Below are 14,117 nucleotides of genomic sequence, written 5' to 3' on the forward strand. Positions count from 1 at the left end.
GGCTCCTCACTAGGGAGGGCTCCTTTTCCAGACCCTCATGCCAAGTGGGCCACTTGCACCATGTTCTGGCATTAACCTAATTACAGCCGGGCAAGGCAGGAGCTCCAGTTTCCTCCTCTGCTCCACTGCTGCGGCCTTGTTAGTATCTATTTAAAGCCATGTGCACGCCAAGGCGGGGTGGGCAGGCACATGTCCCCCAGCCCCCGTGCAAGAGCTGGACTTACTTTGATGTGGTTGAAATAAACTAGGCACATACACAGATTACGTCAGTTTCCATCCGCCCCAGAATCCTTGGTCACATCATGCACCTCCCCTCCAAGGCTGGGAGTGATTTCTGCCGGGGTATGTAAGGCAGCTTTGTGGGGTGTGGGGATGCATTTTGCCCCAGACACTATCACATCCAGATGTTTTGGTGCTTGATAAACTCTCTTGATGCATTCTGAACTGGGGCTGGGTCTCTGGTATTACTAGGGTGTCCACTGTAACTAACTGATGAAGTGCAGCTTCCAGTGCTTCCTCTAGAGGACGCCCCATGAGGCACCTCATGCATTTTGAATGCAGCTGAGCCCTGTTGTCACCCACCGCTGACAACATGAATTTCGATAATCACACTGCATCTTTTATGCTTGGGAGTTCTCTCCTCGTACAGAAAGCCTGAGGGCATGTCGTTCATTTTGATGGTGGATCTTAGGCTGATCTGAAATGAACATTATAAAAGGGTCCCCTTCTTTCTTCCTTCCTTTCTCCCTTTTATGTTCCCTCCTCCCCTTTGCCTGTTGGGATCTCTCCATCTCTGTGTCTCCACTTCTCTTCCCTTCTTTCCTGATTTCTGTTTCATTTTATCTTTCATTTGACTCTTTCTCAGTCCCTCTGTCATTCTCTCTCTGTGTCTTTCTTTCCCTGTTAGGAAGGGAGCCATTTGACCTCTATGGCTTGGTTTCTACTTCCCTGCATCATGCAATCCACATGGATCAAGGTGGGCTGTGGGATTTTTTTCACTGGCGGGTGACTTGCTGCAAGCCCTGGAACAAATTGCTCAATGATGACTGAGTCATCTTGTCCCAGAGATGATGACTTCCAGACGGACCCAGCGACTCCTGGCCCTGGTTCTTTGGAGTGCTCCTGGGGCCTCTGTCCTTAGGCTACACATCAAATGGTTGCTGCCTTTCTGTCTTCTCCTGGCACCTTGAAGGAATTGCCTTTTAGAAATAAGAAAGCATTCACCTAAAATAATGTAACCTACTCAGAATGAGCTTTGAGTTGTTTTCTAGGAGATATTGTGGATGACGATGGAATCGGTGGCCTTGGGCCACCCAGACACGCATTTGCAAGAAGGCAGCGCATTTGTGGGAATCAGCCTCTGTACAGAAGGCCGGCCACAGCACTGCTGCCCCCACGTAGTGTGGGGATGGTTGGCATAGTGTCTGAAAGGGGGAAAGAATGAGACGGCTTATTTTCTGTATTTTACTACTGCGCTGTACCTAGATGATGATGATACGTGAGTTAGGCTAACATTTCAACGTAATTTTGGATAGAGACCTTGTCTAAAGTTTACTTCATATTCAAACCTGTCCAAATGAGAAGACGGAGGGGTCCTACATGTCCCAGACTTTAGTTGGGGGAGGTGGAGTCGTGGGCCAGCCCTGCCGCAGGCCTCCTCCTCTCTGTCCCTCAGGGTTCTTCTCAGGTGGAGTTGCGGAGCTGGAGTGTGTTGTTGCGGTGCCCAGTTTGGACCTATTACCCCAACTCAGTGCCTGGTAGCCCCCGTTGTTGTTTTTTTTAATTTATTTTATTTTATTTTTGAGATGGAGTCTCACTCTGTCGCCCAGGCAGGCGTGCAGTGGTGCCATCTCAGCTCACTGCAGTCTCCGCCTCCTGGACTCAAGCGATTCTCCCGCCTCAGCCTCCTTAGTTGCTGGGATTACAGGCGCCCCCCCATCACACCCATCTAATTTTTATATTTTTAGTAGAGACGGGGTTTCACCATGTTGACCAGGCTGGTCTGGAACTCCTGACCTCAGGTGATCTGCCCGCCTCGGTCTCCCAAAATACTGGGATTACAGGCATGAGCCACTGCACCTGGCCACCCCTATTGTCTTTATAACCTTGACACACTGTGTGTCTTATGGGGTGAGCAGTAGGAGGGGACTTTAGTCTGTTCCCTTCCAGAGCCTTCTGAGTGTGAGTCCAAATGTGCCCACACCATGGTTCCCAGGATGGCATTTGCATTCAAACTGTTACCCATTAATCTGTGAAAGCCTGAGCTTTAGACAAACCTGAGCTGCCAGAAAGGAATTTCCAGTGCATTCAGGTGCTAATGAGCAGGAATGAGAAGTCCTAGCTAACTTCCTAGGCTCTTAGGCTCTTTCCCATCTTGCTGGAACTTCCTAGCAACTTTGGGAGGCAGCCCTGGCAGGAATTTTTATATTTTGTTTTACTTTGCAGCTGAGTAAACTGAAGCTCAGAGCTCATGTATAGTGGAATTGGGGCTTGACTGTCAGGCATCTAACTTGAGGCCACAAATATCCGTGTAAATGTTTGACTGACTTACCTTCATGCTTTGAGATTATTTTAATACGGTGATGCTTGTGACCTGTGTCTGTTGGGGCTTAGTTCCTTAAGAATCCTGATTGAAACAGTGGCCTGACACCCAGCAGAGATATGGGTAATGTACACACAAGGATTCCCAAATGACCAAGAAGGAAAGCTCTGTAAGGGAGTATTAATTGTTTGCCTCCAGGATCAGTATTCATTCTTGGATCAAACCCCAGCTCCACTGTACACCAGCCACGTGATGCTGGGTGCTTCCTCATCATCTCCACATGTCCTTTTGCCATCTGCAAGGGGAGGATAGTAACCATGACTCATCTCACAGGGTGATGATGATGTGTACATGAGATATTGCAGGTAAAGATGGAGATGAGAAGCGTGACCAGTTATTGTGACTACAGGATGAAGGGGCTGGTCTAACCTTGAGCTTGCGAGGAAAGCAGAGTAAAGATGCCTGCTGACCCTGGACAAGGGTTTTCTGCTCAGAATTGTTTGTCCACTTCAGGTGGGTTCTTCTGGCCCCCTGAGGCAAGTGTGTGCACTGCCACAGCCCCCTTTCTGATGCTGCATTTCTTCCTCTGTGAATGGAGAGATTCTGAATTCATTGAATGCATTTTCATGATGTGATACTTTAGGCCTGCGTACCAGGAAAATAAATGGTCCCAACCACAGTTAGCTCCTCGACTTGCAGGGGAAGGATGCTGAGTGGAAAGTCACATTGGGAGGTAGTCGGGGCTACAAAAGGGGTACAAGTCAGGAGAGGTTGAGCCCAGAAGGGAGTCTCAGAGAGGTCAGGCTGCGTAAGCAGACTCGAAATTTTGCTATAAATGTGAGCTTTGAAAAATGATAATCCTGCCCTGGGAGGAGTAGTAATGTCTCCTTCTCTTAGTGATCCACATGAACCTCCCCAGCCAAGACCTGCTGGTCCAGAATCTAAGACAAGAGAAGTTCGGGGAAGTGAGGATATGAGGTGAAACGAATGAGAACTGTTTTCACGTGCCTGCTTGAGCCAGCACGACTGCATCCTGCCTTCCCTGAGAGACACGCTGAGAGACACGCTGCTTCCATCAGCCGCTCTGTGGCTGTTCAGCAGGATGGCGTGTTCAGCCGGGGAGTGGTGTGTCATCAACCCAATTTGGCAGCTGAGGCAATGAACACAGAGCCAGGACCAGACGACCTGGGGGCATTTTTACTCTTGAAAAGAACTTAGACATTGATCAACTTAATAGGCTCATTTCATGGAAGAAGTAGAAATGCAGAAATTGAAAATCTTGCCCTGGTTCATGTAGCCTGTGGGAATTAGAAACCATGATTCCAGGCTCCTGGCCACCTCTCTTTCCATGGAGGGCCCCTTGTGGGGATTTCTTCTCTAGAATGGGCTCCCTCTGACCACATTTTGTCCATGTGTGAAATCCAGCATGACTGCTGATGCCTTCCATGTGTGAGTGGTGGCCGTGGGCAGTGCCTGATGACCTCATCTGATGGACATTCTTTTCCGTCCTCCTCCTCACCCCTCTCCCATAACCCGGGTGCAGAAACATTCAGGACATTAAACCCTGGGAACCTCAATTTGAGATAAGACCTCTTATGTCCTGTGGGTCAATAGGAGTGACTCAAACGTTATGAGAAGCACATGGTCGCAGGGCCTGTGAGGACCACCTCAGCTTGGGGATGAGTCCTTAGTTAAGCTTATGCTTGATGTTGCAATCTTGAACAGAAAAGGGGGATGAGAGAGGAGAGAGGACAGTAGAGAAAGGGGGAAGATTTATTTTAAAGAATTATATTTAAGGAATCAACTCACACGATTGTGGGGATGGCAAGTCTGAAATCTGCAGATCAGGCCACAGACTGGAGAACCAAGGAAGAGCTGATGTTGGCATCGGAGTCCAAAGGCAGAATTCCTTCCCAATCTATGCCCTCACTTTTAACGGCAGATGGTCTGCAAGGTTGGGAATTCAATTTGCATTGTAATTCAGCCACTGCCAGGATGAGATCCTACTTCTGGTTTTCAGCCATCTCAGCTCTGCATCTATGGGACATAAGGGCAGACATAGAAACTTTTGATTCATTCATGTGGTGCTTGAGCTGGGAATTTGAATCCCTGAATTCATTCTTCTTTTTTCCCCCACTTTGTCTAGTACAATTAGGAGCAACCAACCACTCTCGTTATACTTGTTAATTTTACAAAAATGTTTAAGGTATCTGCTACACACCCACCTAGAACCTTGCCTCTTAGAAGCCTTTGGGAGTATTTAATAATATTTTCTGTGTCTCTATTGTCCCATCATGCCCTGTACTCTCCTCTTTTTACTACTGGACGTAGAATCATTAGTGCCTTTCAACCCAATCAGATCTGAGAACGAATTTCAGAAACCTCAGAACCCATTCAGAAAACTCATTTTTAAGATGATGTTCTTCTAGAACCACTCTTGCTACGAAAACCTGACAGCACAGTCCCCAGGCTGTTTGTTAGGGTCTGGCATAAATTCTTGGAAAGGCAAAGGAGAATGGTGAGAGCGTGTGTAACTGTCTGTCTGTCTGTCCATCCCAGTTGGTTTTCACTGTGCTTTGGTGGCTGCATATGGAGCTACAGATACTGATTTCCCACAGTTCCCACTTTGGATTTGTTCTCCTGCTTCTCGTCCATGGGAAATGACTGCCAGAGCTGGGAGCTATCAAGCATATTTAAACCGCAGCCTTCCATTTATTCTTCATGAATGCACACGGGCCCCAGACTGGTTGTAAATAAGCACCAGCTCCCATCCCCTGCAGTTCTTGGCCTTATAGAGAGCCTGCCAGAGGCTGGCTTGGTCACATCCTTCAGTTTAGACTTTACCTGGAGAAGAAAATCACAAAGGTCTAACGGGCACCCAGATAGCATCAGCAGTGTATTTAGAGAAGTGCAGAAGGGCCAATTAAGCCCATTTCGTGGTTTATTATTATTAGTGGTAATTATTTCTGGCATGCAGTTCAAGGGTGTCTGTGGCCTGGCTGAGCTCCGGAAGTGCATCCACAGCACCCTCCTGTGAATGTTTATAGACCCAGGAGGGGAGCCCTGGGTTGGGAGCTCCAGACCACTGGGGATGGGAGGCAGAGACTCTATGTATAGATCATACTCTTGTGGAGGTAGAGGCCTGGAACATGATGGCTAAACTCCTGTCGCTGATTCTGGGCTAAGAAAGAAAGAAAATCCAAAAGACAGCAAGGACCTCTGAATCCCTGAGGGAAGTTGAACAGAGCAAAGTAGAAATGAACCACAGGATGGCTCCATCCCTCCCCTGGCATCCACTGCCCCTGCCCCTGAATGTCCCTATCTTTGCTTAGCTGTGGCCCAGAAGTCCACTCAGCCTTTGTCTAAAGAGGCAGGTTCTGCTCAGCAGTGGCGTTGAGAGCTCAGACCCCATTTTGGGTTTTCTAGAGGCAGAAGGCCAAGTTCATTCTCTTGAAGTGAGGTAGATATTCCTGTGCACAGAGAGAAGGGGAATCCAGCTCCTCATAGAGCAGCTCCCCACCCCAAGCTGAGTTGTGTTTCGCAGGGAGAGATAAGCCTGTGGTCAGCAGCATTCATCCCCATGGTATTCAGGCCACTTTCCAAGAACCAGCCCCTCCTTGTACTTAAGTTTCTAGAGGCAGGGCCGAGGAGCAGGCACAGGGAGAGGATGAGCGTCGGCAAGTTACAGGAAACTCAGGAAAATGTTTATGTGTGTCCAGGGATTTTCAGAGACTATCCAGCCATTCTTTATCTCCAAGTGCCTCTGCTCTCATGAACTTCTTCATGTGGACAAAAGCAGGAAGCCTTTAGGGCCACGCATCTCTTGTTTTCCTGTGACTTACACAGCCCTCACCTTTGTGCTTAGATGGACTGTGGCCAGCGGGACCTCCAGGCCTGGCTGGGTCAGGAGAGTTTTGCTTAACCAGATCTGTTTGATCCTTGAACCAAAAGCGGGGAGCCAGAGAGATCCTTTGAGAACTGATGACTGCTGCTGGGTCCTGCCCAGCCATTTGCATTTTATAAAGGTCTTTGGCAGCGGCCAAGGCCTTCTCATTATGTGGTGTTTTTCCACTTCGGGATGAACCGGAGTGGTTTGTGCAGCCACCTGATAGCTCTTTGCACCAGCTTCTGCATGGGAGACTTTGAGCAGGCCAGGAGCCAAGGGGACCCTCCTAGGCCTTCCGAGCACCTAGCACTGGCCCTTTTCTTCCTTGGGGCTTCCTTCTGGAGGAGGTTTCCCTGGGTTTGGAGTCCTCCCTCCTGCTGGGGGTGGGGGCGTGGTTGCTGGTGGCCTGGAGTGAGCTGCCTGCTGTGGCCTCCAGCACTCCCCAGCTGAACAGCGAGTCCTTTGTGAAATTCCTGAGGCAGGAGGGGGCAGCTGTGCAGAGCCAGCTCTCAGAGTGGCCGACAGGGAGGGTGTTGTGGTGTATCATCAAGTGATAAGGCCTTCGGAAAGGCTGTGGAGAGGAAGGAAAACACATTCCTGACTGTGGTGTGTTTGCCCTTGAGGGCCCTGTGTTTGGGGAAGTAGAGAAGCTTGGCTGCATTGTTGTGGGGTGGGAGTTAGCCCTGTGCTGGGGGGAGCTAGTGAGAGATGAATTCAGCTGACCTGGGATCAAATTCCAGCTTGGATGCCTTTAATTAATAACATATTAGACCATTTAATCAATTTAACACACGTTTTTGGAGTGCCTACTATGTGCAGGCAGGTAAATGATCTTCAAGGTGTCTCCATCAGGTGGAAAGTCAAAAATTCAGAACTGGGCAATGACTGGAGGGGAGGATGGGATTCTCAGGTGAAGGGTGTGAGACCCGAGTTGTGTTTTGGACGATGTTAAAGGAGGAGATCAGCTTCCAGTAGTGAAGAGCATCTGATGCTTTGGTGAGGAGGATTTTCTTTTAAGTCCTTGAATGCAGAAGGGCTCCTTTGGAAGATTTTATGCAAGAGAATGCCATGGAAAGATTATATTATAGTGGATCACTCTGGAAGTGTCATGCGGAATGAATGGAGAGGTAGGAAGCGGGGTTGGGAGAGCAAACGTAAATCTAAGGTCCAATTGGGAGGCTCTGTTGGAATGAGCTGGCGAGAGATGATGAGGGCCTGATTTAAGGAACGATTGTATTGAAGGCACTAAGGTATTGGCATTCAGCGAATGTACATGAGTCTCAACTTTCTGGTTTACATCTGAATGGACAGAGAAGAGGACATGATCTGAGCATCAGGGAGTTGATGTTTGTCTTGGACATTGCATTAATATAGTTAGGCTAGGCTTCCAGAAACTCTGAAATCCCAGTGGCATAATGTCCAGTTTGTTTCTCTCTCACAGAGTCAGCTGTGAAGATGGTGGCTGTAACGGACAGCTTCTTCCAGGCAGTGACTCAGGGATCCAGGCTGTCTCTTGAGGATATCTGGGGGGTTATGTATTTGCCCTGAAATACTTCGCCCTGGTGATGTCATGTGTGATTTCCTCCCGCAGACCTTTAGTCAGAGCTAGACACTGTGAAGGGCTAGGAATTGTGAAAAGATTGTGTGAATGAACAGGAAGGTTAAATTTGAGGTGCCATAGGCCATGCATAAAGAACAGTCCAGATGGCACCTGGGACCGGATGCCTGGACACCATCCGAGCAGGAGATTAATGGAATTGAAAATCAGCAACGTAGGAGACAGAAGCCTTCAGGATGTCTGGGATCCTATAGGGAGGGTGTGTTGTTTGAAGAGCAGGGGCTGAAGGTGGAATCTTGGGGAGCTCATGACAGGCTGGCAGAGGTACTGAATTTCTCCAAGTCTCAGTTTCCTCATCTGCGAGATGAGCCTGATATTTCCTATAAAGGGATAGTGAGTGCACTGGGTGCTGCTGGGCAGGCAGTGGCTCCTCATAGGGGTGGTTCCCTTCCCCCTGCATTGTGTTGGACTGAACCTTGTGTGTTCTGTTTGTCAGGAACTGTGGTGTATGGCGAGCCCATCACTGCCAGCTTGGGAACGGACGGCTCCCATTACTGGAGCAAGAACTGGGCCAAGGCTGCTGCCTTTGTCACCTCCCCACCCTTGAGCCCTGATCCAACCACTCCAGACTTTCTCAACTCCTTGCTGTCCTGGTGAGTCCTGGCGACTTGTTCACACTTCACATTCTGTCTTTCTTCAGACCAGACTGACCTGTTAGGCGAAAACAACATGGTGGCCAAGAGCAGCCATAAAACTGGGAGACCCTTGTTCACCAAACTAGGTTGGCTACATGAGTACAGGGAATTGTCATTCTAGCACCATTTTGGGAGGGGATTCTGGATAAAAACCTGGGCCATGTTGAAAGTCAAGCCAAGAAGGGAGAGGAGGCGTCAAAAGGACTCCACTTGGGTTGGTGTGATGCCATTCATGAGACAGCCCACCAAATAGGTGTAGGCGCACAGCATCTTGACGAAGCTGCAGCACCACGTTATGCATTTTCTTTGCAGTGGAGACCTCCAGGTCACGGGCAGTGCCCATTGCACGTTTAACACTGCCCAGAAGGCTGTAGGAAAGGACAACTTCACCCTGATTCCGGAGGGCACCAATGGCACTGAGGAGCGGATGTCCGTCATCTGGGACAAGGCTGTGGTAAGGAGCGATGGCCTCACTCCTTGGTGGCTCTCAGCCTTCCTTGTCCTCCTCATCTGGGGGCCATGGGGCTCATGGAGGCCTTGAAATGACAGACAGTGGAGGACATCCTAGAAGCCAGTACTTATATGACAATATTTCTGAGGGTTGGAAATCTAAGACCTCTTCTAATAGGTCATTTCTTCCTAAATATTACATATATATTTCTTTTTAAAACAATTTTTAAATTTTTTTCAGACAAGGTCTTGCTCTGTCACCAGGCTGGAGTGCAGTGGTACAATCATAGCTCACTGTAGCCTCAAACTCCTGGGCTCAGGTGATCCTCCCATCTCAGTCTCCTGAGTAGCTAGGACCACAGGCTCAGACCACCATGCCTGGCTAATTTTTTTTTTATTTTTTGTGGAGATGGGGGTCTCACTATGTTGCCCAGGCTGGTCTCGAGTTCCCGGGTTTAAGCAATGCCTCGGCCTCCCAAAGTGCTGGGATTACAGGTGTGAGCCACCACGCCTGGCTTACCTGTATATTTCTTATCATTATCATCAATGGAACAGTAAAGACTGAAAACCTACACAGCTTTAGATGTGACTCTGGGTCAGTCAGGAACAAACTTCCTTAGCAACCAGGTGACTTACTCAGTTAATCCTCGTCTACTCTTGGAAATGGGCTCAATTTCCTTAAAAGTGTCTTTTAGGGCTCTCTGGACTTAGCATGTCTTCTACTGCCAGCTTCCAGTAGGCCTGCTATGAACATACACTGACCTTTAGAGGATCTTTGGGCTTTTTCATTTTAATGTTTTAAAATATATTAACAGAATAGGTTTTCTGTTTTTTAGTGAATTGTTTAGATTATATGAAGAATATATCCTTATTTCCAGAAGAATAAGGAAGTAAATAAAAGTCACTGTGTTTCAGATATAACCACAATTAACATTTTGGCAAATGTCTTTCCATTTTTTGCTACTACACAGGCACACACATGTATATGTGACATGCGTGAGTGTGTAAATAATATTGGCATCATACAGCTGGGCCCACTCCCAGGTTCATGCCTATAATCCCAGCATTTTGGGAGGCCGAGGTGGGTGAATTATTTGAGCCCAGGAGTTCAAGACCAGTCTGGCAACATGGCAAAACCCTGTCTCTACTAAAAATACAAAAATTAGTGAGGCATGGTGGCAGGTGCCTGTAGTCCCAGCTACTCGGTGTGGGGGAGGCAGGAGGATCACCTGAGCCTTGGGAGGTTGAGGCTGCAGTGAGCCATGACTGGGCCACTGAACTCCAGACTGGGGGACACAGTGAGACCCTGTTTCAAAAAATAATAATAATAATAATATTGGCATCATACATACTATTTTGTAGTCTTTTTTAAAAAAAATTTTATCATGGAAATATCTCCACCTGCTTAAATATACTTGAAAAAGTTGATTTATAATAACAGACTCTTCCATGTGAGTGCTAAACTGGGACTCATTTATTTATTTATTTATTTGAGATGGAGTCTCACTCTGGAGTGCAGTGGTGCGATCTCAGCTCACTGCAACCTCCGTCTCCCGGGTTCAAGCGATTCTCCTGCCTCAGCCCCCTGAGTAGCTGAGATTACAGGCGTGTGCCACCACACCCAGCTGATTTTTGTATTTTTAGTAGAGACAGGGTTTCACCATATTGGCCAGGCTGGTCTCAAACTCCTGACCTCAGGTGATCCACCTGCCTTGACCTCCCAAAGTGCTGGCATTACAGATGTGAGCCACCATGCCTGGCCAGGACTCACTTATAATTCTTTTTTTTTGGCTGGGGGAGACAGTTTCACTCTTTCCCCCCAGGCTGGAGTGCAATGGCGTGATCTTGGCTCACTGCAACGTCCGCCTCCCGGGTTCACGCAATTCTCTTGCTTCAGCCTCCTGAGTAGCTGGGATTACAGGTGCCTGCCACCATGCCCGGCTAATTTTGGTATTTTTAGTAGAGACGGGGTTTTGCCATGTTGGCCAAGCTGGTCTCAAACTCCTGACCTCAGGTGATCCACCCACCTCAGCCTCCCAAAGTGCTGGGATTACAGGTGTGAGCCACCACGCCCAGCCACATTTATGTCTTTGGTTGAACATTTATGTTGTTTCTGGTTTTTTTTTTTTTTTAACTTGAATGACATTTTTATAATAGACACATTCTTGATTATGTTTGTAGGAGAAATTTCTACAAGTGGCATTGCTGGGTCAAAGGATGCATATATTTTTAACATTTTTGGTACATATTGTCAAAGTTCCTTCCAGAAAGTTTGTACTGCTTTATACGCCACCACCAATATATGTCATTCCCCAGTGTCTTCTACCACCTGGGTGTCATCAGCAAAGATCCATTGTTTGCTGATTTGATAGGTGAATTTTGTGTCTTATTGTTTTACATTTAATTTATTCAATTACTGATTAGAGTGAAAATTTTTTCCTATGCTTAGTGGCCATTTGTACTTTTTTCTCCCTCTTAATACCAGCTTATTTCCTTTGACCAGTTTTTTACTGGATTTAGAGTGGGTTTGGGAGGGGAAGCACTTGAGGAAATGTGATTGGCACCTAAAACCAGATGTGGGGCGGAGACTTCTAGGTTGGCTAGACTAGAAGATGACATCTGGCCAGGCATGGTGGCTCATGCCTGAAATCCCAGCACTTTGGGAGAGCGAGGTGGGAGGGTTGCTTGAGCCCAGGACTTCGAGCCCAGCTGGGCAACATAGTGAGATCTGTCTCTTAAAAAAAAATTAGCCTGGTATGGTGGTGCATGCCTGTCTTCCCAGCTACTCAAGAGGCTGAAAGAGGAGGATTGCTTGAGCCTGAGAGGCCGAGGCTGCAGTGAGCTGTGATCACTCTACTGCACTCTAGCCTCAATGACAGCAAGACCCTGTCTCAAAAAAAAGATTAAAAAAAAAAAGGAAGCCTAGATCTGTGGCTGTATTTTGTTGAAAAGGACAGCCAATTGGGCCAAATGATATTTCCTAAAGAGGGATTGCCACCCCTGCAAATTAAACGAATTTTTTTTTGTTTTGAAATAATTATAGATTAAGAAGCAGTTGCAAAGATAGTACAGAGAGAGGTCCCGGGTACCCTTCACCCAGTTTCCCTCATGGTTACATCTTATATAAATGTAGAACAATATCAAAACCAGGACACTGACAGTGTCACAATGTGTGGGTATAGCTCTAGGCTGTGTGGCCACCTGTGGAGTCATGTGACCATCACCACAATCAAGATGCAGGTCTAGTCCAGCATTTCAGAGACCAACCTCTTGCTGCTCCTCCCCTCCACCCTCCCTAACCCTGGAAGAACCCATCTAGCCCCTCATCTGTTCTCCATCTCTACCATTTTGTTATTTGGAGAATGTTATAGAAATGGAGTCATACAGTGTGTGACCTTTGAGACGGTTTGTGTTTCACTTGGCACAACGCTCTTGACATCCATCTAAGCTGTCGTGTGTATCAATAGTTTGTTATTGAAAAGTAACTTTTTAACTCGTTTCTGCTGTGTGCCTCCTGTGCACACCTATGCTGTCTCCCTCAGGTCACTGGGAAGATGGATGAGAACCAGTTTGTGGCTGTGACCAGCACCAATGCAGCCAAAGTCTTCAACCTTTACCCCCGGAAAGGCCGCATTGCTGTGGGATCCGATGCCGACCTGGTCATCTGGGACCCCGACAGCGTTAAAACCATCTCTGCCAAGACACACAACAGCGTAAGACCTGTTAACTGTGCAGACCCCATCCAAACGAATTACAGTCACAGAGACACAGACGGAGGGAGAGCCCCAGGGTTTCTAAAAAGAACTTGCTGTGATGGGAATGCGCTCGACTGAGGATGTTATGATTTGCAATTTGCTGGGAAAAGAATAGTTATTTCATTTTCTTTAGTGAGGTCAATAAGATTGTTACTCTCATAATCATTTTGGAATACCACAGCCTCTCTATCTATAGACCTTTAGAGCCTCTAAAGTGATGTCAGGATGTGCAAAGCTTCCAGAAGTCAGGCACCGCTCCATTTTCATAGGTTGGCACAGCACTTCTCATGGCAGTACTTGGTGCAAGGGACCTCAATGAAGCAGTGAGATGTCCTCTCCTGAGATGCCCACTGGGGACTTTGATCCTCTTAAGCCATTGTTTTCTCAGGCCAGTATCCATGCAGAAAACTGGATGACAGCCATTCTTATTATCTTAAAGGAATTGATTGACTGACTTCTCCCTAACAGAAGTACCCCCCAGCCATTTGATTGTTGTTTTAGGATCTGCCGCTTTGGGTATCTCTTCCCTCTGGGTCTGGGCTTTAGAGCTTAGAGATGTCCTCTCTTGTTAACAGGACCCAGGGCAAGTCTGTTAATGTCTTACGCTCCTCAGCTGAGAGTGAGGGGTTCAGACGAGGTCTCCAAGTGTCCTGTGATTCTGTGAGGTCAGCAGACATTAAGCAGAGTTGTTAGACACTGCCGATTCCTCACAAGCAACATGGTATAGGCAGAAAAACTGAAGGAATATGCCCAGAGGGAGAGCTTTGGAAAAGAAATGGGCCTCGGGCAGAAGAGTTTCGTGTCAGGAACTCATTTGAATCTTGAAGACAGCTCAGGCCAGCAAGCACTGACACCTCCCCCACACACCACGACAGCTTAGGGCAGGTTTCTGGCATTTCTCCGGGACAACCCTGGGACTTTGCCCTGTCCCAGTCCTCTCTCATTTGCACACACAGAGGTGTTTGGGCTGCAATGGGCTCAGGCTCAGCTCTGGCTTCTGCCACCTGTGAGGACCAGGGTGGTGGGTGTTTCTCAGAAGACTGTTCAAGTCTGTGTTTAAAGCTGTCTTTCTCCCTCTCCCACCACCACTCACTGGCTCAGCCTGGCAGCGCAGCCTTATGATCGCGCCCCTTACAGCCCAGATCATGACTTCTTGGGTGTCCTGACTGGCTATTTTATGGTCAGGGATCCTAGGGCCCTGCCCCATGAACCTCCCTATTCATGTGCCTGT

At 47.8% G+C, this 14,117-nt stretch overlaps 1 protein-coding gene across 3 annotated transcripts in view, besides 3 other annotated features; it reads left to right on the plus strand.

The window, feature by feature from the left end:
* DPYSL2 (dihydropyrimidinase like 2) overlaps positions 1-14,117 on the plus strand; it is a 144,145-nt gene that overhangs the window by 120,926 nt on the left and 9,102 nt on the right. For all 3 annotated transcript variants that reach the window (NM_001197293.3, NM_001386.6, NM_001244604.2), the window contains exons 9-11: positions 8,483-8,639; positions 8,994-9,135; positions 12,674-12,844. In NM_001197293.3, coding sequence (NP_001184222.1) covers positions 8,483-8,639; positions 8,994-9,135; positions 12,674-12,844 — 470 coding nt within the window. The remainder of the gene's footprint in view (positions 1-8,482; positions 8,640-8,993; positions 9,136-12,673; positions 12,845-14,117) is intronic.
* Positions 1,564-2,528: an enhancer, noted in NCBI's record as "OCT4-NANOG-H3K27ac-H3K4me1 hESC enhancer chr8:26494036-26495000 (GRCh37/hg19 assembly coordinates)". NCBI's record gives its function as "activates a minimal SCP1, AML or CMV promoter by ChIP-STARR-seq in primed H9 embryonic stem cells {active_cell/tissue: H9 hESC(primed)}" and the evidence as "EXISTENCE:reporter gene assay evidence [ECO:0000049][PMID:30033119]".
* Positions 2,529-3,493: an enhancer, noted in NCBI's record as "NANOG-H3K27ac-H3K4me1 hESC enhancer chr8:26495001-26495965 (GRCh37/hg19 assembly coordinates)". NCBI's record gives its function as "activates a minimal SCP1, AML or CMV promoter by ChIP-STARR-seq in naive H9 embryonic stem cells {active_cell/tissue: H9 hESC(naive)}" and the evidence as "EXISTENCE:reporter gene assay evidence [ECO:0000049][PMID:30033119]".
* Positions 8,469-9,379: an enhancer, noted in NCBI's record as "H3K27ac hESC enhancer chr8:26500941-26501851 (GRCh37/hg19 assembly coordinates)". NCBI's record gives its function as "activates a minimal SCP1, AML or CMV promoter by ChIP-STARR-seq in primed H9 embryonic stem cells {active_cell/tissue: H9 hESC(primed)}" and the evidence as "EXISTENCE:reporter gene assay evidence [ECO:0000049][PMID:30033119]".

Source organism: Homo sapiens, chromosome 8 (assembly GCF_000001405.40).
Source record: "Homo sapiens chromosome 8, GRCh38.p14 Primary Assembly".
Taxonomy (NCBI): Eukaryota; Metazoa; Chordata; class Mammalia; order Primates; family Hominidae; genus Homo; species Homo sapiens.